Source organism: Homo sapiens, chromosome 2 (genome assembly GCF_000001405.40).
Source record: "Homo sapiens chromosome 2, GRCh38.p14 Primary Assembly".
Classification (NCBI taxonomy): Eukaryota; Metazoa; Chordata; class Mammalia; order Primates; family Hominidae; genus Homo; species Homo sapiens.
In genome coordinates, this window is record NC_000002.12 from 238,718,444 (window position 1) to 238,745,059 (window position 26,616).

General features: G+C 44.2%; 1 long non-coding RNA gene across 2 annotated transcripts, besides 1 other annotated feature; it reads left to right on the forward strand.

Annotated features, from left to right (window-relative positions):
- Positions 1-1,545: 1,545 nt before the first annotated feature.
- On the forward strand, positions 1,546-25,683 carry LINC01937 (long intergenic non-protein coding RNA 1937). 2 transcript variants are annotated; one of them, XR_924050.2, is made up of 3 exons: positions 1,546-1,978; positions 21,883-25,224; positions 25,470-25,683. It is a non-coding gene; the product is annotated as a long intergenic non-protein coding RNA 1937 (long non-coding RNA). The 2 variants fall into 2 exon arrangements; XR_007088244.1 differs by lacking the exon at positions 1,546-1,978 and having other exon boundaries at positions 21,309-25,224.
- Positions 12,021-12,520: an enhancer, noted in NCBI's record as "H3K4me1 hESC enhancer chr2:239639105-239639604 (GRCh37/hg19 assembly coordinates)". NCBI's record gives its function as "activates a minimal SCP1, AML or CMV promoter by ChIP-STARR-seq in naive and primed H9 embryonic stem cells {active_cell/tissue: H9 hESC(naive and primed)}" and the evidence as "EXISTENCE:reporter gene assay evidence [ECO:0000049][PMID:30033119]".
- Positions 25,684-26,616: the final 933 nt, after the last annotated feature.

Sequence of the window (26,616 nt, forward strand, 5' to 3'; positions counted from 1 at the left end):
GGCTACAGTAACCAAAACAGCATGGTACTGGTACCAAAACAGAGATATAGATCAATGGAACAGAACAGAGCCCTCAGAAATAATGCCGCATATCTACAACTATCTGATCTTTGACAAACCTGAGAAAAACAAGCAATGGGGAAAGGATTCCCTATTTAATAAATGGTGCTGGGAAAACTGGCTAGCCATATGTAGAAAGCTGAAACTGGATCCCTTCCTTACACCTTATACAAAAATCAATTCAAGATGGATTAAAGATTTAAACGTTAAACCTAAAACCATAAAAACCCTAGAAGAAAACCTAGGCATTACCATTCAGGACATAGGCGTGGGCAAGGACTTCATGTCCAAAACACCAAAAGCAATGGCAACAAAAGACAAAATTGACAAATGGGATCTAATTAAACTAAAGAGCTTCTGCACAGAACTAATTATTTTTTAAAAATTACTAGATTTCAAGAAAAAATGATTTTTCATGTAAACATATCAGATATGATGATTTTAGAGAAAATTCAGTTAACTTTTAATATTCTTAAACCAGTAAAGGGATTCCAGACCTTGAAATGTTGCATTGCTGCATACGCCAACATCATGTGAAAAATTCATATATCTAAACCCCCAACACAGGCACACAAATACTTTCCCAAGAGCCTCACAGTTTCCAGAAAAGTTGTGAATTCTGAGGCAACATAGTTTTTTTGTTTTTGAGGTAGGGTCTCACTCTGTCACCCAGGCTGGAGTGCAATGACATGGCTCCCTGTAGCCTGGACATCCTAGACTCAAGCGATTCTCCTGCCTCAGCCTCCCAAGTAGCAGGACTACAAGCATGCTCCACCACACCTGGTTAATTTTTACATTTCTTGTAGAGATGGGGTCTCACTACATTACCCAGGCTGATCTCAAACTCCTGGACTCAAGCGATCTTCTTGCCTTGGCCTCCCAAAGTGCTGGGATTACAGGAGTGGGCCATCATGCCTGACCCTAAGGCAATATTCTAATTAACAAATTGGTTTGTACACATTCACACGTTTTGCAGTATGTAGGTTATTGTTTGAAGCTTTGAGAACTCTCCAGTTTCTAGAACTGCTGAAGAATCTAGGCCTCTGCCTCTCTTGCTCAGATTCTAAACAATGGAGATGTGTGGGTTTGGCTCAGCAATGCTAAAACATTTAGTAAAACAGGACAACAGCTAAAAGTATCGAAAGCTTAATGTGCAGGATAGGTTGAATTTGCTAAAGGAGCAGTTTTTGTGGCACTGGAGAAACTGAGCATGTTTTGGTGTCTGCCTGGGCTGCACGTCCTCATCCTGTAGGGTCCCTATGTGTCTGGGTCTCAGCAGAGGCTGAGGCTTTGGCGGACGCCCATCATGGACAGACACATCCACATGGGGGTGGGGCAGCCTGGTCCTCACACATCCCGGCGCCCCGGCCTGTCGCCTGGAGACTGCAATTATGCACAGAAGACGCCAAATTGCTGCGTATTTCCAAACATTTGGAATCCTAATCCCTTCAGGAAAGTTTTTTCTTGGATGCCACACCAAATCTAAATGGCAGAAACAATTCTTGTGATTAGGTGCAGGTTGTATGTAAAGGGAAAGAACCCTGGAAAAGTGACCTGGGTTTTGATGTGGACATTTAAAGGCTTTAGCAAGATGCTTTGGTGATTTGGCCTCGGTCTCCTCAACAGAGAATGAAAGGGATGAACCGAACAAAGCCTTTTAAGCTTGAGAGGGTCTGAGGAGAGAATATGCTCTCTGTAAGTTTCACGCCCCCTGAAACTTACAGGAGACACCTGTGCCACCTAACAAATGTTTCTAGGGAAACAGCAAATGCGAATGCTTCCGAGTAACCAATCGGTGCGCACACTCCCCCGGCCCCACCACAAGAGGGCGGTGTGACTAGCAAATGAAGCGTAGAAGACCCATCAGCAGTGGAGGTTGCTGGGGACAACGGCTGATGAAGCCTTCTCACGGTGCAGGGTAAGCTCGAGCAGCTCAGCTCCAGGTGATGTGTTCTCTTCCTCTGAAGCGGAGCCTCACATTCCAATGGATAGGAGGAGGTTGAGTCATTAATGTAGCCGTGCTGCCCTATCCCAATGATGGGTTACAAGCACAGGGTCACCAAAACGGTAGGTGAATCACCACCCTACTAGTCCATACTTGCTCCCTCTTCCCAGCTCAACACTCAGACGAGGATAACGATTTCTATTGTGCAACCCAGTATTACACAGAAGAGGTGCACTGGGAGGTGGCGGCTCCTCCAACTCAGAAGAGATGGAATCCTCAAAGCATGAGGCAAGGCAGGAGGGGCAGAGGGCCAGGGAGGTGGCATAGCATTGCATGTTCTGCGTCTGTATCGACCAAACACATGAAAAACCTACAGAATGCACTGCATTCCATAGTGCTTTGGAGACCCGTCTCCATTCTCTCCCATCTTGAATCTGCTGGAGCCAGAAGAATGCCTCTCAAGAGCTGAATGGGGCAGGGCTGAGCACTGCAACCTGTGTGCATGAAAACAACTGAAAAGCAGTTCTCAGGAGGGCAAAGGCTCAGACACTGCACGACTATTCCTCGTTCCTGAGTTTCTCCAAACCTGCACTAGACCATCAAGGGGCAAATAAAAATCAACCACCCCCAGATAGCAAGTCCTCGTATAGGACTAGAGGTGGATATTGAAATTAGTAAGCATTAGAGAGGAACCGGAAATACACCAAAGCAAAGCAGAATATAAAATGGAAGGACAAAGATGAAAATAACTTGAAAAGTGTACTTTACATGAGAAAAATACTTAATAAAAGTCTGCGTATTTACTTCTGAGTAAATTATAGAAGATGGAGGAAGAACAGGGATTGTTAAAGAAGAATGAGAAACATGCAAAGCGACTTATTCTATATAGGGGGAATTAAAAGAGGAGTTTATTTTTGGTTCTTAAGTAGATTGACAACAACAATATCATTATAGACCAGTGACTTGTTCCACAGATAATTACTGAGCATCTGATACACATAGCACCGTTCTGGCACAAACAACTTAAAAGACACAGAGTACGGAAAGCTGGAAATTAAAACAAATAAAATGGCTAATTGGTAGTTTGTCAATTAGCCAATTTACCCAAAAGACAAAGGCCTTTTGGCACGGACAATTCATCCAAAGGCAAATTTGGCTAAATGATTTCTTGTCATAATAGCATTATAGTCATAAATAGATATTTCATTCTTTCTAATCAAAATTCCGACAATCTCAGATTTGGTGGAAAAAAAAAATCTCCAAGCAGCATGGAACACAGCACGAGCTTTGCAACCAGATAAATTTGGGTTCAAATCTCAGTTGGCCATTGATTAGCTGTTGAGTCTTTACCCTGCTACTTAATTACCTCAACCAAAAAACGGAGCTCATAGCTGTGCCTTCGAGGATTGCAAACATCAAATGAACCAAACAGTCCCAAGCAAATCGATGCTCAACACCGTATCAAGAAATACGAGGAAGAGGAGGAATTGCTTAAAATTAACACTTAAAAATGTATTAACACATAAAAGAAAAAATTGAAGAGTGGGGAAAAAGTGCGTCTACTTGACACAAATACAAAGAAAGCAAAAATTTAAGAATGCTTCAGAAGTATTTGAAAAGCATCAAATGGAAAAAAGTTCACGTTATAATAAAAGATAAAATCCGTGAATATAAAAAGTGCTAAACTTTGTTGACTTAATAATATGTAGGTTTAAAGTAGTCAGAAATATAAGGTTACACAAAAACGCAAATAGAGCAAAAGATATCAAAGTACTGTGTCCGGAGTTGGTGGGTTCTCGGTCTTGCTGACTTCAAGAATTAAGCTGCGGACACCCGCAGTGAGCGTTACAGTTCTTAAAAATTGCGTGCCCGGAGTTTGTTGCTTCAGATGTTCAGACGTGTCCTGAGTTTCTTCCTTCTAGTGGGTTCATGGTCTCGCTGACTTCAGAAGTGAAACTGCAGACCTTCGCGGTGAGTGTTACAGCTCAGAGAAGCAGCACTAACCCAAAGGGTGACCAGCATTAAGATTTATTACACAGAGCTGAAGAATACAGCTCCCAGCGTACAGACCTGGATCCAAGCGGGTTACTGCTGCTGGCTCTGGTGGCCTGCTTTTATTCCCTTATCTGGCCCCACCCACATCCTGCTGATTGGTCCATTTTACAGAGAGCTGATTGGTCCATTTTACGGAGAGCTGATTGGTCCGTTTTGACAGAGTGCTGATTGGTGCATTTACAATTCTTTAGCTAGACAGAGTGCTGATTGGTGCATTTACAATCCTTTAGCTAGACACAAAAGTTCTCCAAGTCCCCACCCGTGCCGGAAGCCCAGCTGGCTTCACCGCTCTCTGGCACTGCAGCGGGACTTTGCCACACCTAACCCAGACAGTCTGGCAGCCCAGAGGGAGCTCATTCGAGACAACCAAGAGGAAGAGGGGGGAAGTGAGAAAGAGACGGAGGCCCCCCATCGTGGCCAAAGACCCCGCGAAGAGGGAAGGGGGGCCCACGCATGGGAGCCAGCTTCCAGTCAAACCCAGCCGGCATTGGCAGGCCCCACGGAGTGCGGGGCCGCTGATCCCACGCCCACACAGAACCGGTGCAGGCCCACGAGCACCGCGACCAGCCCCACGTCTCCCTCCACACCTGTCCGCGAGCAAAGGGAGCTGGCTCCAGCCTCGGCCAGCCCCAAAGAGGGGCCCCCACAGCGCAGCGGCGGGCCGAAGGGCTCCTCGAGCGCGGCCAGAGTGGACGCGGAGGCCGAGAAGGCGCCGAGAGCAAGCGAGGGCTGCTAGCACGTTGTCACCTGTCAGTACCGTGGGCTTTTGCCACACAAAGTGGATGAAAAACAACAAAAATAATATAGTTTAATTTCAACAAAAAATAATATAGTTTAATTTCTCAGTGCCCTCCAGCATTGAAGACCACTGAGTACACATCTATAGTTAAGCAAGTCGGATTTATCGCTCAGCGTCACAAAGGAGAATGTATGCCACGGTGATCTGGGCTTGTGCTTGGTGATTTGGGGGGAAGAGTTTAAGGAAGGGGGACTTTTCTCTGCAGAGGTAATTCTCTGTGTAACCTAAGGAATCTTACGTAGGGGAGGAAAGTCAGAATGAGGCTGTGATGGGTAAGGAAGCACCTGCCATTCTTCTTAGATGGGAGAAGGGCACGTTTTGGTACTTTGCACGTGATACTGTTGTTGTCTCTGCTTAGACAAGACTCCAGAGTGGTGGTGTTTGTTGCCTCACTTTATCATGGTAATGAAAGGACTCGTCTGATGTATTAGTCCATTTTCACACTGCTGATAAAGACATACCCGAGACTGGGTAATTTATAAAGAGAAAGAGGTTTAATGGACTCACAGTTCCACATGGCTGGGGAGGCCTCACAATCATGGCAGAAGGCGAAAGGCATGTCTTACGTGGCAGCAGGCAAGAGAGAGAATGAGAACCAAGCGAAAGGGATTTCCCCTTATAAAACCATCAGATCTCATGAGACTGATTCACCACCACGAAAACGGTATGGAGGAAACCATCCCCATGATTCAATTATCTCCCACCAGGTCCCTCCCACAACATGTGGGAATTATGGAGCTACAATTAAAGATGAGATTTGGGTGGCAACACAGCCAAACCATATCATTCTGATGTTGTGTTCTTTAAGATTGCTTATGTTCAACAAGGAACACCAGGACTGAGCTGTGAGTGTCCAGCCTGCTGCCAATGTCAGAGGCTTTTTTTTCTCTTTCTTAGACTCCTTCTCAGATTGGTAGCTTGAAACGTGTTTCAAAGATAGAATGCCCCTTACTTAAAGCATCAGTGGACTATCTGCGAAAATGATCTTATATTTGTCATTTTAAAAATCTCATTAATTTTTTCACCCTTATTTTGTTAAGGATCTTTGCATTCATGTTAATGAAGGAAGTTGTTCTGTACTTTTCTTGTCATGTCTGTTTTTTGTTGTTGTTGCAGGATAATATTGACCTCATAAAATGAGTTGGAAAGTGTTCCTGTTTTTCTGTGTTCTGAAATAATTTGTGTAAGGGTGGTGGTATTTGCTCCTTGAATATTTGATATGTTTCTAGTGAAACGATTAAGGCTGCTGTTTTCTTAGAGGGAAAGTCCTTAGTTATGAGTTCAAACCGTTCAAAGAGATATAGGACTATTCAGACATTTTATTTCTAATAATAATTATCTAATAAAATACTTTAGTATATAGTACATATTAGTACTAAAACATATTTAGTACTAAGCTTTCAAAAGAAACCTGTTAATGAGGTTATATATCTTGATGCAAAAACTATGGTGATACTAAAGGGAAGTACAGGGGGAAAAAGAGATATGTTTAAGAATTAACAAAGCGTAGCCCTAAATAAATACTGGATGTCAGGGCTACAAGAGAAGAATGTCTAGGCTGCCTGCCGAATTTCTGGCTTCTGTAAGCGTGCTCTTGGAGGTGTAGGCAGGAAGAGCAGCAGGCTCAAGGGACAGAGACGCGGCTGTTGCACAGACTCATGGGATCTGAGATGCCTTTCTGGCATTCAGGTGGATAAACTCCATCAGCAAGAGTTCCATGGCAGCAGCTTGGAGGAGGACGGGGCGGGAGTCAGGTTAGGCATTTCCAGCAAAAAGAGGGCAGCTGGAGCCTGCGGTGTGAATGGATTCACTCAGGGGATGGTCAGAGAGTTCACTCAGAAAGGACCAGAGAGGATCAGGAGCCAGGGGAGACTTAGAGGTATATGTTTTGGTGGATTATGTGCTTTTTAAGGTAGGTGTGGCTAAGGGGCTGGGTAGGAAGGAGATTCAGAAGAGAGGATGATCATTGATTAAATAGGTTTTCAATGAGAGTTTTAGTAAATCCAAGGTTCTAAGGGTGAGTTTCTCCTTAGACAAGAGGACAGACACCTTGTCCTCAATGAGAAGGAAGGTAGGAGGACAGAGTAGGGAAAGGCTCCCCCATGGAGCTCTTGGGCGTCTCTGCGTAGGTGAGTCTCAGCCTCAGTCGGACCCATGTCTTGGCAGAACACTCTGTGATCCTTCCTGGGATTCAGCAAGCAGGGCAGTCTCGTAAGGGTCATCTGTAGGTCATTTTCCATCCACTTCCCTGTCCTATAGGAGGCTCCCTGTCTTGTGAGGGGCTGCCACAAGACACTGTCTTATCCACTTCCCTGGTTCCAGTGAGAAGTAAAACTTTCCACATGCCCCCCTTAGGGCATAGCTCCAGCTATAAAGGTGCTTGGTTGTATTTTAGAGTGAGATATCCCAATGGAGCAACCCACTCCTCATGTCTGTCATCTGGCTTCTCCAATTTGGTGTCATCCTAGGGATGTGGAAAGCTGACATTATGATGATGTTGCTTATGCCGTTAGTGTAAGTGATAAACAGTCTAAAACCATCTCCATATTGACCAGATCTATGTGGTCTGAATGTAGGTTTCATGTTGCAGCCTAATATCCAATGCGATGGTATTAGAAAGAGCAGCCTTGGGAGGTGATTGCCTCAGGAAGGTAGAACCCTCATGAGTGGCATTAGTGCCCTTATAAAACAGACCCCAGAGAGCTAGCTGGTCCCACCCACCCAGTAAGGACACAGCAAGATGGTGCTATCTGTGAGCCAGAAAGTGGGCCCTCACTAGACACCAAATCCATCTTGACTTTGGACTTCCCAGCCCCCAGAACTGTGAGAAATCAATTTTTGTTGTTTATAAATATTCAGTCTGTGGTATTTTATTATGGTAGCCTGCATGGTCTAAGGCGTGTGGCCACTCAATTTTGTGATGAAGTCAGTGGTGCTGCTGGGGATAGTGTAAGGCTTGACAGGAAGTGTGGGCAAGAGGGTGGGCAAGACGGTGCTCATTCTGTCTGAGAAGTAGGCAAGGTGTTCTAGGGCAGTGGTGAAGACAAAGTTCAGGAGATGGTGAATGTTTTGAAAGGAAAGTTTAATATGTTTTCAAATTATTTATTTGCTTTTTTTGAGAGTGGATCTCACTTTGCAACCCATGCTGGAGAGCAGTGGCACCATCATAGCTCATTGTAACCTGAAACTCCTGGGCTCAAGCCATCCTCCTGCCTCAGCCTTCTGAGTAGCTGGAACTACTGGTGCACACCAGCACTTCTGGCTACTTTTTTCTTTTCTTTTCTTTTTTTGTAGAGATGGGAGTCTCACTACATTGCACAGGCTGGTCTCAAATTCCTGGCCTCAAGTGATCCTCCCGCCTCAGCCTCCCAAAGTGCTAGGATTACAGGCATGAGCCACTATGCCTGGCCTAGAATGGGTAGTTTAGAACAGACCAGCATCTCTGCATGTGCCTGTGTCCTGTAGGAAAGACCCAAACTCTCTGGAGGTCTCGCTACCCAAGGAAACATGAGCCTGGCCGGCTTCTGGATGTGGGGAAGCCTTTCACAGAGAGCAGGGTTCCCCATTGCTGAATTAACCTCTTGTCCTGAAAGAAGTAATGGTCTCGTTCTGGGACATCTCATATCCCTCATGGTCCCAAATTGGGCCCTGTGCAGCACAGATAGAATTGAGGAGGAACCTCTCAGTCCAGAGGGACGAAACTTCACCTAGAAATGAAGCAATATCTTTCTCAGCAGCTGCTCACTGAAAAAGTAGGGTGCCTTGGCTAATGTGAAGGGTGGGGTCCCAGAGATGAGGCCTCCAGAGGTTCTGGCGGGAGAAACACGTGGGATTTTGTGGAGTACAGTTCAAGAGCCATAGGTCTGCTGCAAACCCGCACTATGACTGTCTCATGGAAGAGCAAACGAGGACACTGAGGCTCTGAGCAGTGAAGCAATATGCCCGGAAGCAGGCAGGCAGACAGTGGCAGGACCAATGCCGACAGCCGGTTTCTGAGTCTGGAATACCAAGTTTGTTGGGGAAATGTTCCAAATAGGTGTCAGGAGGGCACAGGGCCAGGGCCAGGTGAGATGTGTGCAGAGCAAGGTGGGAATGAGGGGTCCCTGAGGATAGCACTGGGGTTGAGGTGGAAGAAAAAGGGAACCCGTGCCAAGCTCTTCTTTCCTTAACAAATGTTTACCGAGTATCTCCTCCGTGTCGGTGTGACATTAGGTGCAAAGGACAAGGCAACGGGGACTGTTTCTGTCTGTGTGGCACATCGAGTCCTGTGGAGAGAGACTCCCAGCAAGGAGTAATGCTTTTGCATATAACAAGACTTACACGTGACTATAGATTCCACTTGCACCATGCTTTTCGTGGACTCATTTGTTCAGGGATGTGGATGTAATTGACATTCCATTTTACTAAGCACATCGTGTTATTCCATTCTCATGACAACACCCGGTTTATGGATGAGATATCTGGAGGTTGCATGGTTTTCGTAACTTGCTGAGGGTGTCACAGCTGGGAAAGACAAGAACCAGGGTTCCTACCCAGCTCTGTAGGAGTCAAAAACCCAGGCCCTTGGCACCTGCACAACACCTCTGCCTCATTTCTCAGTGAGCTCTTGTTTTGTCTGCTCTCTACCCTTGTGCCCCCACACGCTGTCATCTCCTGCCCTCCTTTGGAAGCATGAGGCTGGGGGTCACAGAGGGAAGCTGGCCCCTCTGGAATGGTCCAGGTCTGTTCAGTGGATGGGAGGGGCATTGGGCTGCAGAGCTCAGCCCAGGGGTGCACATCTGGGAGCCTGTCAACCACAGGGTCCGCCTGTAGACCCAGCAGAGAGCATCGTCACAGGAGCCAGCCTTGGCCCGGGACATTCAGTTAGAACAGCTCATTTATTTGGCAAATTCCACTCCCAAGTTGGAAGTCATGTTAGGATTTGCTCATGGGTGCAGGGTATTTCTGGAACATTGAGTGCAGATGAACAATGAAATTCCTCCCTGGAGGGCACCTAGGAGAACTTGCGGGCTTATTAAAATCGCAGCAGTGGGGAGATCACTTCACTTCACAAAAGCAAACAGCAAGGTCACTTAAAAATTGTTGCCTCTTTTCTCTCATTAAAAAAAAAAAGGAATGCTTGCTTGGAGCTAGGGCTATCTTGACTTTCAGCCTGCCAGGCAAAGGGATGCTCACGTCATGGACCATTATCTGATTGTAATCTACGAATTCAGAGAAGTTTCTGGGTAAAATCATAGTGGGAAAATCGAGTTTTTGGATCTGTGTCTTCAGAACGATGCAGTTATGTGGAGGAAGGCACTCCCGGGCCTGGGCCTGCCTTGCAGCGGTGAGTTACTAAAGCTGGAGAGTTCAAACTCTCCAGCTCCGTGCAGATGTAAGTTTTCAATTAGGTTGCCTGGGTCCAAGATTAGTCAGAAACACTGCAGTAAAACTTAATCCAATCATTCTGATTCTTCTCCAAACATGATTTATCTTATGATCATCAGTACTTCGATGAAAGGGGAAACGCCAGTTCACTTTTTTTTCCCTTTGCTGTGATTCATGTGTCCATTATCCCAGAATCTGAGTCCTGTTTCAGTTTGGCAATAGCTTCCTTTGGCATTCTATTTTTGTATGATCATTAGCATTCCTTTTTTCCTAAGCTTTCATAACATTCAAGTCAGCCTTTTATATCCTTCCCCAGAAGGGCTGGAGATCTTGTAAGCTCCCGCTGTAAGCAGGGCCTGCCTAACCTTAAATGTGAAACATGTTTTAGTGCTGAAGTCATTCCTCAAAAAGCAACGTGAACTTGGGAGGCTGTGCCTGGCAGAATTCAAAGTGCCCCGTGGAGAGACTGCGGGGAAGGACAAAGAAATTGGGACCTGCCTGAGGCCATGAGTCCAGACACAGGCATGAGCTCCTTTCCTGTGCTGTGGAAGCCAGTGGGACAGAGGGTGTTGTGCTGAGGAAGCAAGCCAGTAGGACAGAGGGTGTCACCCTGGTCTTAGGGCCAATCAGTCAGGCACAGAGCATGGAGTTCAAGTCCTGCCTCCGTTGCTAATTAGCCAGGAAATCTTGAGCAAGTGGTCCCACCTGCAGTGCCTCGGTTTCCTCATCTCTCACATGAGTCTTCCTCACGGGTGGTTTTGAGACTCAAATGTCATAATGAGCATGAAATGCTGAATATCTGACCAGGCAGGTTGGATACATTCGATGTCCCCTTAGTGAGCCCCTACTGTGTGCTAGTCCTGGAGGTGCAGGGATGGAAGGTGTGGTTCCTCCCTCCTGGGAGCTCCCAGTGTAACTCAGCAGTTACCAGTTGGAGCTGTTCTGCCCCTAGGAGACACTGGATATCGTCTAGAGACATTTCTGGCTGTTGTGATTTGATGTCAGGGAGCTGCTGCTGGCATCTAGTAGGTAGAGACCAGGGATACCGCTAAACACGCTATAATGCACAGGACAGCCCTGCCCCCAGAGCAAAGGATTATACAGGCCCAAGTGTCAACAGTGTCGAGATTGAGAAACCCCGGTCCAGCTGAAGAACTTCATGGGTGACCAGGCCGTTGAAATTCAATATGACGAGGGTCTTAGTAACAGGGTGAACTCAGGGGGCAGAGAGACCACCCCTTGTTTACTCTGTCTCAGTCATTGGGTCAGACTTAGTATGACACCCATGAGGCTCCCAGTCCCTGCCCATTTTTCAGGAGAGCTGAGGTGGTCCAAGCCCAGTTTAGCACACAAGAGGGCTCCTTCAACGACCCCCATACCACCATCTAAGAAAAATCTGCCAAAACGTGTGCAAAGTATGACAGCTGCTCTGTGCCAGGCACCATGCTAGCACTGCTCCTGCCCCTGCCCGGTCAATAACTAGTGCATGGCCAGCCTGGAGCTCCTGCCCCTGAAGCCTGAGCCTTGGCCATGATCCCAGGCAATGTCTCCATAAAGACGCCTTAGGACCTCGCGGCCTAGGCACTTTTCTTACCCCAAGTCTTCCAGAACCACGGATCAGGAAGAGGTACCCAGAGCCCTGGAAAGCTCCTGGGTTGCTGAGTTCTGGGAAGAATTCCTTCCCTCCTCAGTAGGGACCTCAGACAGAAGGAGCCGTGGACGGCCGCTCTGTTAGCTGAGGCTTAGCACAGCCTGCCCCTCCCTACATCGCTGCTGGGACCCAGCTTGCTGCAACACAGCGGTTCTCAGAGTGGGGTCCCCCAAAGGCAGTACCAGCGTCACCCGGGGACCTGTTAACTATGCAAAATCTGAGACCCTACGACCTACTGCATCAGAAACCCTGGGGATAGGGCCCAGAAGCCTGTGCTATGAAGAGCCTTGTAGGTGAGTCTGACGCGGGCTGGAGTGTGAGAACATGCCTGTGGAAGGCAAGCCCCTGTGGGTGGTCAGGTAAGTCCTTCCACTGCTGACAGTGCTGGGCTGAATGCAGCTGGGTTCCCTGGGAGCCCTCTCAGTACAGTCTCTCCCGCCTGCCTGGGAAATTCACCTTCAACTCCACGAAGCCTCAGCTCCCCTCTGCAAAAAGCACAGAATTGCTTTGAAGTTAAACCATGTGGCAATCATGATCATAAAATTCTTAGGTTGGTGCAAAAACTGCGATTACTTTTGCACCAATCTAATAAATTCAGCCCCCTTAGTAGAAGGCTCTAAGTTGAAGAAGTTTACTATAGTTCCTCTGTTTTGGTAAAAAGCAACATTGAATCAATGCAGGCAGCAAGCAGGAAACATTTAAAATGGACGCCAGTGAGTCAAGACATGGAGCGCTGAAAATGCTGGGACTGCATTGGAAATGTGCATAAAACTTAAAACAACAGAGATGAGAAAGATACATTCTATCTCCATCTGGCAAGTTAAAAAAAAAAAAAAAACCAGAATGCTGGTCGTGCTGTATCTTGAGTTTGGTGATAGTTACAGGAGTTTATTCATTTGTAAAAATTCATTGAGATGAATGAATGCATTTAAGATTACATATAAAGAATATAAATTGTCCAGGCACTGTGGCTCGTGCCTGTAATCCCAGCACTTTGAGAGGTTGAGGCTTGAGGATGACTTGAGCTCAGGAGTTCAAGAATAGCCTGGGCAACATAGCAAAGCCCTGTCTCTGCAAAAAATAAAAAATAAAAAAAAATTTACTGGGCATGGTGGTGCATGCCTGTAATCCCAGCTACTCAAGAGGCTGAGATGGGAGAATCCCTTGAGCACAGGAGGTTGAGGCTGCAGTGAGCCTTGATTGCACCACTGTGCTCCACCCTGGGCAACAGAGCAAGACTCTTTCTCACAAAGAATAATATAAATTATGCCTATATGTCTATAAACATTGAAAAAAATTCTGTATTTTACAGTTTGTATGTTACACTTTAAAGTATTTCAGGTTGACAAAAAAAAAACAGATAAATGAACTTTTGGTGAAAGAGCAAGGAGACTGAGACTTTCAGGAAGTGGTACAGGCACAATGCATGCTGGGAACGGAATGGGCAGGTGGAGAATGGCCTTAGGAAGCACTGTGCAGTCTGCACCACTAGTGATGAGCTTGTGAGTGTATGGTCAAGGCAGAACTAGGTATGGACTTGTAAAATCTATTGACAATTACAACTTAGCCCTGAATTTGAGAAAGCTGGAAGGAAGTCGTCTGGAGGACTTCTTGGGTGAAAAGGCGTGCAGTAACCAGACTTCCAGACTTTTATTTACAACTGGGCATTAAAGCCAACGCTTAGTCTCAGAAGGTTGTGGTGTGAATTAGAAGCCACCTGGGAGTTGAGCAAGACTGACTCAAACTCCAGTTCCAAGCCCTGGGACAATCTAATGCTGTTTCGGAAAGTCTATAACTTCCTCATAAAGTTTCTGGGTTTTTTCCCCTTTTTTTAAAACTTCTTACAAAATGAATACACATTTTTTTTAGAACAGTTTTAGATTTACAGAAATACTGACCACAGCCTTTTCAGACTGGCTTCTTTCACTTTGCAATATGCAATTAAGGTCCCTCCCTGTCTTCACAGTTCTGTGGTTTTCTTCTTGTTGCTCAATAATATTCCATTGTATTGATGTACCCGTTTGCTTGTACAACCACCCATTAAAGAACATCTTGGTTTCTTCCAGTTTTTGGCAATTATGAATAAGATAGCTATAAACATTTTTGTGCAGGTCTTTGTATGGATATACTTTTTCAATTCAATTGAGTGAGTACTTAGGAGCACAATTGCTGGATTTTAGGGTAAGACTGTATTTAGCTTTGTAAGAAATGGCCAACTGCCTTCCAAAGTGGCTGTACCATTCTGCATTCTTACCAATAATGTATGTGAATTCTTGTTGCCCTGAACCCTCATCAGCACTTGAAATTGTCAGATTTTTGGATTTTAGCTATTGTAACAGGTGAATAGTGGTGTCTCGTTGTTTTAATTACAATTCCATAGTGACAAATGGATATGAACATCTTTTTATATACTAATTCACCATCTGTACATCTTTTTTCATGAGATATCTGTTCAAGTCTTTTGTCCATTTCTAAATGAGTTGTTTCTTTTCTTAGATTTGAATTTTAAGAGTTCTTTGTATATTTTGTTCTTTATAAGTTACGTATTTTGCAAATATTTTTCTTTCAGTTTGTGGCTTGTTTCTTCTCTCTTAATAGTGTCTTTGGCATAGCAGAATTTTTAAATTTTAGGGAAGCCTAAACTATTAATTTTTCTATCATAGGTTGTGCTTTTGGTGTTGTATCTAAAAACTCATTGCCAAACCCAGAGTCACCTAGATTTTTCTCCTATGTGATAGTCTAGAAATTTTATAGTTTTACATTTTATATTTAGCTCTATGACCATTTTGAGTTAATTTTTGTGAAAGACATGAAGTTTGTATCTCGATTTTTTTTGCATATGGATGCCAAATTGTTCCAGTATCATTTTTGAATAGAATATGCTTTCTCTATTGAATTGCCTTTGCACTTTTGTCAAAGATAAGTTGACTATATTTGTGTGGGTCTATTCTATTCCATTGATCTATTTGTCTATTCTTTCACCAATACCAATTGTCTTGATTACTATAGCTTTATAGTCAGTCTGGAAGTTGGGTAGTGTCAGTCTTCTGACTTTGTTCTTCTTCAGTATTATGTTGACTCTTCTGAGGGTTTTGAATTTTCATGTAAGCTTTGATCAATTTATTCATGTCCACAAAATAACTCACTGGGAATTTGATCAGGATTGCACTGAATACATAGGTCAAGTTGATAAGAATTGAGATCTTAACAATATTAAGCCTTTCAATCCATAAATATGAAATATATCTCCATTGATTTAGAACTTCTTTGATTTCTTTTATCAGATTTTTGTAGTTTTCCCCATATAGGTCTTGTACATATTTTGTTAGATTTGTACTTAAGTATTTAGTTTTTATACTCATATGAATTTTTTAATTTTAAATTTCAAATTCTAATTGTTCATTGTGGGTATATAGGAAAGCAATTGATTTTTGCATATTAACTTTATATCCTTTGACCTTGTTATAATCATTTACTAGTTCCAGGGTTTTTTCTTGTTGATTCTTTGGGATACTTTATTTACATAAATAATCACATCATCTGAGAATAAAGAGTTTTATTTCTTCCTTCCCTATCTGTATATCTTTTATTTCTATTTCTTGTCTTATTGCACTAGCTAGGACTTCTGGTAAAAATGTTAATTATAAATAGTGGTAAGAGAAGACATCCTTGCCTTGATCCCAATTTTGGGGGGAGCATCCAGTTTCTAACCATTAAGTATCGTATTAGCTGTTGGATTTCTGTAGGTGTTCTTTATCAAGTTGAGGAAATTCCCTTACATTTCTAGTTTACTAAGAGCTTTGATCATGAATGGATGTTGGTTTTGTCAACAGTTTTTTTTTCTTCAATTGATGATTATATAATCATTCTTCTTTAGCAGTTGATATGATGAATTACATTAAAACATTTTTTAATGTTGAACCAGCCTTGAATACGTGGAATAAATTCCACTTGATTGTGATGTATAATTCATGTTATGCACGGTTGAATTTGATTTGCTAAAATTTTATTGAGAATTTTTGTGCCTATGCATGGGACATATTGATCTGTAGTTTATTGTAATTCTTTATTTTTGGCATTAGGGTAATGTTGGCTTTATGGAATAAATTAGAGAGTGATTTTTTTTCTCTCCTATTTTTCTGGAAGAGTTTGTAGAGAATTGGCAGTAGGTCTTCCTTAAATGTTTGGTAGAATTCATCAGTGAAACCAGCTAGGTCTGGTGCTGTCTTTTCAGAAGATTGTTATTTATTCATTCATTTAGAAATATTTATAGGCTTATTCAGATTATTTGTTTCTTCTTGTGGGAATTTTGTTAGTTTGTGTCTTATAAAACTGCAAAACTCTGATAAAACGCATTTCATCTCAATTATCAAATTTGTGGGCAAAGAGTTGGTCATAGTATTTCTTTATTATCCTTTAATGTGTATGAGATCAGCGGGGATCATTTTCTGTTTATGATAATAATACATGTCTTCTGTCTTCTTTTTCTTGGTTAGCCTGACTAGAGGTTTGCCAAATTTATTGGACTTTTCAAAGAACCCACTTGTGGTTTTGTTGATTTTGTTTATTGATTTCCTGTTTTCAATTTTATTAACTTTTGCACTAATTTTTATTATTTCTTTTCTTCTCCTTACTTTGGAATTCATTTGTTCTTCTTTTCCTAATTTCCTAAGCGGGAAACTTAGGTTACTTATTTTAGGTATTTCTTCCTTTCTAATATGTGCATTAACTACTATCAAGTTTCTTCTGAGCACTGCTTTCCCTGCATTCCCCACATCTTGATGAGTTATGTTTTCATTTATTTCAAAATATTTCTCTTTAGACTTCTTGACACATGTTATTTACTTATTTATTTGTTAGCTGACTTATTTATTTGTCAGCAAGTTTATTGTCTTTATCTTCAGAGTCCTTATAGACAATTATGGTTTGGTTTAGCTCTCATCTCAGCAGTCCGCTCCTGGGCTCTGAAGAAGGTTGCCTTCTTTTAAGCTATCTGCTTTTTCTTCTGGGCAAGGGATATTGTGGAACGGTTCCACCTCTTCTTTTAACTTCTTTTTTGGGCTTCTCTTAGACTGTATTTTGTCATATAGCAGCGTGAGTTTTCTTATACATCTCTGCTGTTGTGTCTGGAGTTAATGTTGTTCTTGATGTATTGAAAGGATTGTTTCTTGTAAGCATCTTGATCTTCTTTGATTAGGCAACACATATTATCTGCAATGTTCTGACCCGTGAGACACATATGTTGTTTGGAGGTGTGTTGTTTGATTTCCAAATATTCTGGGATTTTTCCAGCTATTTTTTATTATTGATTTCTAGTTTAACTCCCTTGTGGCTGGAGAACATACTTTGCAAGATTTATATTTTTAAATATATGTTAAGGTGCATTTTAGGGCCCAGACTGTGGTCTACCTGAGTAAAATGTTCCATGTGATCTTGAGAGAAATGTCTATTCTGCTGTGTTTGAATGAAGTCTTCTATAAATATCAATTAGGGCTGGGAGCTGTGGCTCATGCCTGTAATTCCAGCACTTTGGGAGGCTGAGGCAGGCAGATCACCTGAGGTCAGGAGTTTGAGACCAGCCTGGCCTACATGGTGAAGCCCCATCTCTAATAAAAATACAAAACAATTAGCCAGTCATGGTGATGCACACATATAATCCCAGCTACTGGGGAGGCTGACACAGCAGAATCGCCTGAACCCAGGAGGCGGAGGTTGCAGTGGGCCAAGATCGTGCCACTGCACTCCAGCCTGGATGACAGAGTGAGGGTATGTCTCAAAAAAAAAAAAAAAAAAGTCAATTAGGTCCAGCTGATCAATTGTAGCTCAGTTCAACTATATTTTTTACTGATTTTCTGTCTGCTGGAATCTATCAATCACTGAAAGAGGGATGTTGAAATCTCCAACTGTATTAGTGGATTTCTATGTTTTTCCCTATAATTCTATCAGCTTTGCCTCTTTCAGGAATGTTAGGAGAATGGATCGCTTTATCATTATGTAATGCCCTGATTTATCTGTGTTAATTTTCCTTATTATGAAGTCTACTTTGTTTGAAATTAATATGGATACTATTGCTTTCTCTTTATTAATGTTACCATGGTATACGTTTCTCCATCCATTCATTTATGTGTGTGTTTACATTTAAAGTGGCTTTCTTGCAGACAACATATAGTTGGGTCTGGTTTCTTAATCTACTCTGACCACTTGTCTTTTAACTGGTGTATTTAGATCATGCACAGTAAGAGAGATCATTGTTGATATAGTTGGATTAATATCTACCATGTTCATAATTATTTTCTAACAATTTAGATGTTCTTTGTTTCATTTTTTATCTTGTTCTTTTTTTTTGCTTTCTCTGTTTTAATTGAGCATTTTGTATAATTAAATGTTCTCTCCTTTCTTAGCATGTCCATTATATACTTAATTTTTTTTATTGGTTGCCATGGAGTTTGCAACATACGTTTATAATGGATCTAGTCCATTTCCAAATAACACTATATAGCTTCGTGGCAGTGTAGGTGCCTTATAACAGGGTATTCTCACTTTCTCCTTCCCATCCCTTATAACACTGCTGTCATCTATTTCAATTATCTATGTTATAATCACAAACTGCAGTATTAATTATTACTTAGAGCAAACCATTACCTATTAGACCAGTTAAAAACAGGAAAGAATAGGCAGTTTTATTTGATCTTCATTTATTTTTATTTAATACTTTTTTCTTTATGTAGATCTGAATTTCTGGCCTATATGATTTTTCTTCTCCCTGAAGAATTTCTTGTAGGATTTTGTGGAGGGCAGGTCTGCCGACCTCTGTTTTTGTTTGTCTGAGAAAGCCCTTATTTCTCCTTCACGTTTTAGGGATAATTTTTCTCAACATAGAATTCTAGTTTGGTGGTTTCTTTCTTCCAAAGCTTTACTTTCCTCTTTTCTTACTTACATGGTTCTGAAGAGAAGTCTGATGTAGTTCTTCTCTTTGTTTCTCTATAGGTAACGTGTTTCTTTTTCTCTCTCTCTCTTTTTTTTTTTTTTTTTTAACCTCTGGCTTCCTTCAAAATTTTCTCCTTGCCATTGGTTTTCTGCAGTTTGAGTGTGATATGCCTAGGTAGACATTGTGGTATTTATCCTGCTTTGTGTTCTCTGAGCTTCTTGGACATGTGGTTTTGTGTCCTTCATTAACTTTGGAACATCCTCAACCACTATGACTTCAAATAGATCTTTTGTTCTTTCCTCTCCTCCTGGGATTCTCATTATATGTATATTACACCTTTTGCAATTGTTTTACAGTTTTTGGATTATTCTTTGCTTTTTAAAATTCCTTTTCCTCTCTGCATTTCAGTTTTGGAAGTTTCTATGGACATTTCCTCAGCCTCACTGATTTCCTTCCTAAGCTGTGCTCAGTCTGTGGATGAACACAGCAAAGGCATTCCTCACTGCTGCTGTGGTGCTTCTGACTCCTACCATTTCCTTTTGATTCTTTCTTAGCGTTTTCATTTCTCTGCTTACGGGGCCGACTCGTTCCTGCATGTTGCCTACTTTTTCCATTAGAGCCCTTACTATTTCAATCATCCCTCTATGAGAATTCCAAAGTCTGTTGTTCTGATGCTTGATTTGTCTTTTTAGACTCTTTTTTCTTGCGTTTTAGCATACCTTGGAGTTTGTGATGATATCTCCAGTTATAGGAATTGATGCAAACAGGCCCTACTGTGAGGTAATCTCACTAAGTTGGCTAGAAGCCAACTGATGCTGAATGTTTGCTGTAGTTTTTGATGCTATGAACATATGAACATGATACATACGTACATATACAAGTATTCATGTGCACGTATGTTTTCATTTTTCTTGGGTGCCTACCTAGGAGTGGAATCTGTGGTAACTCTGTGTTGAGCCATTTGAGGAACTGCCAGACTGTTTCCTACGGTGCCTGCAGCATCTTACAATCCCACCTGCAATGGATAAGGTTGATTTTACTCTTCTTCCTTTATCCAGGGTCTTAAGGTAGTAGGTATTAAGGTAATAGGTAATAAGGTAGTAAGACCCTTTTCCAGGGTCTTAAGGTTAAGTTGTTAATTTGGGGTCTGTCCCTCCTCTTTCCTGGGTTGGATTCTTAGATGTATGAAGAGAGGAAGGTGCATGCAGACAAGGGGATTGGGCAAACCAGCAGGTGGGTGGCCATTCCTCCCAGGCTCTGGCATGCCTGTTCTTCTGTTACTCGATTCTCCCACGCCACTGACAGTGTTTGCCTTTCTCCTGGGATCTCACTGACACTTTACTAGGAGGTTGGAGTTGCGCTTTCAGATGCTTTCCTCTGCCTGGCTGAAGGCGATCCTGCAGCAACCCGAGCTGCTCTAACCACACGTGGCCTTCCAGTGCTTGTCTTTCTCTTAACTCAAGGTGTTTTTCTTATTACACACTTTGTATTCTTTTCTTAGAGAACATGACCTGAGCTGCATGATATAAGAAAAAATAACAGGTGGGTGGGATGCTCTCTGGAGTTGCTCCGACATAGTAATTGGATGCATTTAACAATGCCACAACATTTTGGAGAGTAGGGCTTCTTCCTGACTTCTTTTCTTTAGCCTTGTTATCGTTGGCATTGAAAAATAAGGACAGCTGAGTGCTGTATGTGTCTCCCCAAACCCTCTCCTTGTCAAGGGATATTTTCACAGGGCTCTTCCGTCACAGCAGGACTTCTCAGGATGTGGATCCTGCCGGAGTAAGCATCCTAAAATGGATCTCCACCTCGACATCTATCCCAGAGACTGGGAGCCCTGGTCTGTGGGCAGCAGGGCCCACTCCTGGCCCCGTCTCCCATGGAGCCAAACCTACTCAAGTGTAACTTGGCAGTCAGGGATAGCTGAAAATCGGACCCCTTGTTTTGAAATCCCTGCTGTTTTTGTTGGAGATTAACGGAAGGTGTCAGTTTCTTGGTGATAGCAGGGGTGATGTGGAGGACAGCTCAAGAACCTTGAAAGGAATCATTGTTCAAAATCTAAGTAAGCAACAACTGCCATTTCCCCCACTGCAGACCTATCTTCTTTTGCATATACACGGTTACCTGGATTGCCCATGGGAGCGTCTAGAACAAATTAGGTGATGTTGGGCAGTGTGTGTTGTGGGGAAGTTACATTTGTGGTCTTACTAGCTGCATTAATCTGTTCTCATGCTGCTAATAAAGACATACTTAAGACTGGATAATTTATAAAGGAGAGTTTAATTGACTTACACTTCAGCATGATTGGGGAGGCCTTCGGCAACTTACAGTCATGGCAGAAGGGAAAGCAAACATGTCCTTTTTCACGTGGTAGCAGGAAAGAGAAGTGCCAAGCAAAAGGGGAAAAGCCCCTCATAAAACCATCAGATCTCGTGAGAACTCACTATCATGAGAACAACAGCATGGGAGTAACTGCCCCTGTGATTCAATTACCTTCCACTGGGTCCCTCCCACGACACGTGGGGATTATGGGAACTACAATTCAAGATGAGATTTGGATAGGGGCACAGCTAAACTATATAGTAGCCAATCCCAGTTAAGCTGTAGAGTGTGTTCTAGAGACAGCGCCCTCTGGAGCCTGGGAGAAGGTGCCTATCTTTGTGATTTCCCCCCATGTTGTTTGATCAGACCAAGCACAGTGGGGTTGGACCTCAGGCTCTCGTAGCTGAATTTTGAGTTTGCAAATTCTGAATTTTTATTCACTTTGATTCAAAGAGTGCACTTAAAGCCCCTGGGCCAGGGCAGGAGGTGGAGGAGGGCTTGTTACAAGTCCAGGTTAGGGTCGGCTTCTCATGTGGACAGAAGAGCTTGCTACCCTCAGACCCTCTAGATGGGCTGCTCCAGCATGAAGCACAGAAAAAATGGCCACCAAGGCCAGGCAGTGTCATGGCAGGTGGACCTCCGAGGGCCAGAGAGCCGGGGGGAGAGAGACATGAGGTTCCTGCTGTGTTTGAGAACAGGCAGAAGGAAGCCGAAGTCACCCTGAGACATTCACTTCTCTCTCTCTCTCCTAGATACTTGTCTCTCCCAAACCAACCAAGGCTGCATTAACCTTTCCTGAAAATAAAAAACAGTTCTGCTTTTACCATTTGGGGGCCTGAGGCAAGTGTTCAAATAGAAGCCCTCCTGCCAGTCTATTAAATGAAGCTACTAAACTATTAAATAGAATATGTCTGCTCCTCTCACCTTCCTCTCTGCTCAGTAGTATGTCTCTTACCACCTGGAGGCTGGGTCTACTTACTGCCTTTCCTGCCACAAGACCTTGTCTTGTGCCCAGAGGGCCTCAGGCACGTGCGTGTGGACACCACATTCCCATCCACTAGAATGGCAAACATTACAAAGACTGTTTAAAGTGTTGTCAAGGACGTGAAGCAATTGAAACCCTTAGACACTGCCGGTGGGGATGCAAAATGGCACAGTCGCTTTGGAAAACAGTATGGCAATTTCTAATGAGGTCCCACATGCAGCTACCATGTGATCCAGCAATCCCACTCCTAGGCATGTACCCAGGAGAAACACAAACTTATGGACACAAAAACTTGTACGTGAATGTATATGGCAGCTTTCATCATAATAACTGGATACAGTTAAAACTGGATACAGCCTAAATGTGCCTCACCTGAGGAACAGATGAGCATCCCGTGGTATATCCACACAAGGCAGCACCACTCCCTCAGCAATAAAAAAAGAACAAACTACTGACCCATGGAACAACACGAGGGCATCTCCAATGCTTTGTGCTAAGCAAAAGAAGCCAGATCCCAAAGCTATACTGTATGTTGTTTAATTCCATTTATATGACATTTTGGAAATGGCGGAACTATAGGAGCAGAGAGCGGGTTAGTGGTTAGCAGCAGTAAAGGGCAGAGGAGGGAATATTTTGGGTGATAAAACTGCTCCATCTTGACTGTGGTGGTGGGTTCATCAGTGTGCACTTGTTAAAACACCACAAAGAATGAATTTTACTGTATGTTAATTGAATATACTAAAAAATATCAGATTGCTCTTTGGATAAAATCCAAAATCAGCTGCTTGGCTGCCCCAGGTGCTCACCAGTGACTCGGCCTGCCAGCCTCACCTGCATTTCTTTCTGTTCCTCTCCAGCCACTCCAGGCCTCAGGGCCTTTGCACATGCTGCTTGGTCTACCTGGCTGACCTCTGCTACCCTCCATTCTACAGTATGGGCCCACTTCCAGCCATTCTATACACACCTTGGTGTTCTCAGATCAGCACCTGCCAAGCCAGGTCAGAGCAACCTCCTATTGCTCCCTTAGCCTCTGTGTTTCTCCTCTGTGTCCTGATTACACAGGTGATGAACTCTTGAATGCTGGACTCCCTCTACAGCCTAAGCGCCATGAGGACAGGGATGGCATTTTTCTTTCCCACCACCGAACCTGGCTTTCAGGGTGGCTTGCACAAACTCCATGCTCAGTAAATGTTTGCCAGAGGGATGGACTGATGACTCCATCACTTTATAGATAAAGGTCCTCCAAGGCCTGTCGACAGAGCCAGGATGATCCCCCCGTCTCCAGGCCCGCTTCCCATGGGCTTTTCCTCTTGCACAGCTGCCTTTCCAAGGAAGGGACATGGAATGAGAGTCCTGCCTGATCAGAAGGGGCTACAGCCCTTAGGAGCTAGAGGTAAAAAAGGATGGAGACTTCAACCGTTTCAAGAGCTTCCCCACACAGAGCTGAGCACTACAGTCTGGACTTCAAGAAGTTCAAACAAAGGAATTCCAGAAGTGCATAATTGCAGGCTTGGACTCCACATGAAAAAGAACAGAGGCAGGGTGGAATTCAGATTCACAGGAGGGAAAATGGAGCTCCAGAGACATTAACAGACTATTGACAGAGCTCCTATGGGGAAACCTTGGTGTCCACATACCCAGCACTGTGGAAGTATGCAGCTGTGGGTTCACACCAATCTGCCTTTCCCTAAGCTGAGCCAGGGACCCACGTGGCTCATTTGGCCCAGGAAGAGAATCCGGGGGAGGCCACAGAACAAAGCAAAATTAACCAGCCTCAAAATTACATCACCAACCCAGGGTTCTAGCAATCGAGATAAGCAAATGACCACATTCAGGCAAAACCCATACCAAATGAGTGGCAAATCCCCACTTAACAGATGAGAACACTGAGACTTAGGCAAAGTGACTTGCTCAGGGTCACACCGCTGGTCGGTAGCTGAGCCAGGCTGGAACCAGGTCTCCTGGGTTCACTTCAGCATGGCCTTGTCTACCGCGGGTACCAGGATCTGCCTGGTGTGGCTACAGCTGCTGACCACCAGCATGGCCAACAAGCCACCCTTTGTAATAAGCCACCCCAAAACTCAGTGGCTCCCAATGACAATCAGTTATTTCTTGTGGTCATAGGGCTTGACGGGGATTAGCTGGACAGCTCTCACTTTAAGCATCTCACTGCAGGTGCAGTCCAATGGGGCTACCTAAAGGCTTGACTGGGCTGGACGTCCAGTGTGGTGCCTCCACATGGCTGCCAGTTGACTTTGGCTGTCAGCTGAGAGCTCCACTGGGGCCATCGTGTGACCTCTCCACGTGGCATAGGCCTCTCACAGCATGGTAGATGTGCACTGAGAGGAAATGCCACCAGAAGTCAGTATTCTAAGAAGCAGGAAGTGGAAATGGCCAGATCAGGTAAGGGCTATGCCAGGGACGGCCGGGCGTCCTCTCTGCTGCATGCGAGTGGTTAAAACAGCCCCAGGACCAGCCCAGGGCCAGGTAAGAGGAAATACATTCCACCCCTTCACTGGGTGAGGGAGAAAGCCAACTTCCAAAGAACCTACGTGATGAACAATGATGGACAACAGTGTTGTGGCTGTCTCTGGGAAAATACAATCTACCACCATAGCCATGGCAACCAGACCAGGCAATCCCTGTGACTGGACCCTTAGGAGAAAGCGTAGAGCTCCTACCAAGTGCCCTAGAAAGGACAAGCCAGGCCCACGTGCCAGCCAGGCTGGGAGCAGCTGCTGTGGCGAGTGGAAAAGCCATACTCTGGGAGCGGGAGACGCCCCTAGAGGCCTGACCCCGCCCAGCGCTTGCTCTCTTGGGGCCTCAGATCCTCGTCTGAAATGGGGGACCAGACCACACAGAGACCCCTCTGGGGACATTCGGTGATTCTGCTGAGTCAATGGACTAATTGCTCATGCAGACACAGCCACCAGCCCATCACACAGTGGGTCAGCAGTATCTTCCAAGCCACTGATTTGAGTGGATATTGAAGGAGGCCATGAAGCCCTCAGTAAAACTGAAGTCCCAGTCAAAGGCCTGACCTCGAAGCCTAGGGCATGTGTGAGTGGAGGCTCTCTACGTCTGCTGCAGAAAGGGGGAGAAGGGAGAGGTGAGTAAGGGTTGGGGGTCCTGGGGGAGCAGATCTCAGGCCGGGCAGTTCTGGCTAACGTGCAGAGCAGGAGAGCAGTGGGGCTGCATGTGAAGTGTTAATGATTTCCTCAACTGCCGTGGGGGAAGCAGAGGGGCCAGAGCCCAGGCCTCAGCAGATAAGTGGCTTGGCGTGGTGTTAAGTCCTGTATTTAACAGCTTGATTAATGGGCTGGAGGAGAGTGACTCAGCTAATGAAATGTGCAGGTGGCTGCTGGCGGGTTGGGGACGCTCATGCAACAACGGACATGGAGACCTCAAACACCGGGTATGCCGGAATGCCCTGCACAGACGGCACTCTCCAGTGTGAAGACGACAAAGCCAGCCTCTGGATTTTGTGTGTGTGTGTGTGTTTTATTTTTTAAAAATTATTTTACTTTTTCATAAGTTATTGGAATACAGTTGGTGTTTGGTTACATGAGTACGTTCTTTAGCGGTGATTTGTGAGATCTTGGTGCACCCATCACCCGAGCAGCGTCCACTGCACCATATATGTTGTCTTTTATCCCTCGCCCCCCTCTCACCCTTCCCGCCAAGTCCCCAAAGTCCATTGTATCATTCTTATGCCTTGTGTCCTCATAGCTTAGCTCCCACATATCAATGAGAACATACGATGTTTGGTTTTCTATTCTTGAGTTACTTCCCTTAGAACAATAGTCTCGAGTCTCATCCTGGTCATTTCAAATGCTGTTAATTCATTCCTTTTTATGGCTGAGTAGTATTCCACTGTGTATATATACCACAGTTTCTTTATTCACTCGTTGATTGATGGCATTTGGGGTGGTTCCACGATTTTGCCATTGTGAATTGTGCTGCTGTAAACATGCGTGTGTATCTTTTTCAAATAATGACTTCTTTTCCTCTGGGTAGGTACCCGGTAGTGGGATTGCTGGATCAAATGATAGATTTACTTTTAGTTCTTTAAGCAATCTCCACGCTGTTTTCCATAGCGGCTGTACTAGTGTGTTCATTCAGGAAGGTTTTAATGAGCACTTAGGATGGTCTGTGCTTCCCAGGAGATGGCTGGAGCAAGGCGTGGTGAGATATGGTCCCAGATTTCCAGAAGCTCACAGACTAGTGAGCATATCTCAAACTAAAAATACTGGAAAACAACTGCCTTGTAATTAAAAGTGCTTTTCCAAAAGATGTCAAAGAATTTCAGAGACTTGCACAATCCCAGGTGCAGGGAGGAGAAGCTTCGGTCCAGCCTGTCCATGGGTTCGCTGAAGGCGTCTGATGATTGAACTAAGAGCAGAAGGAGCTTCTCCTTATCCGCATCAGGGTGGTGCTGTTCTCAGACTGATGCTCGCAGGCCCCCAGGTCCTGGCCTCGGAGCCCCTGGGAGTCTGCACCA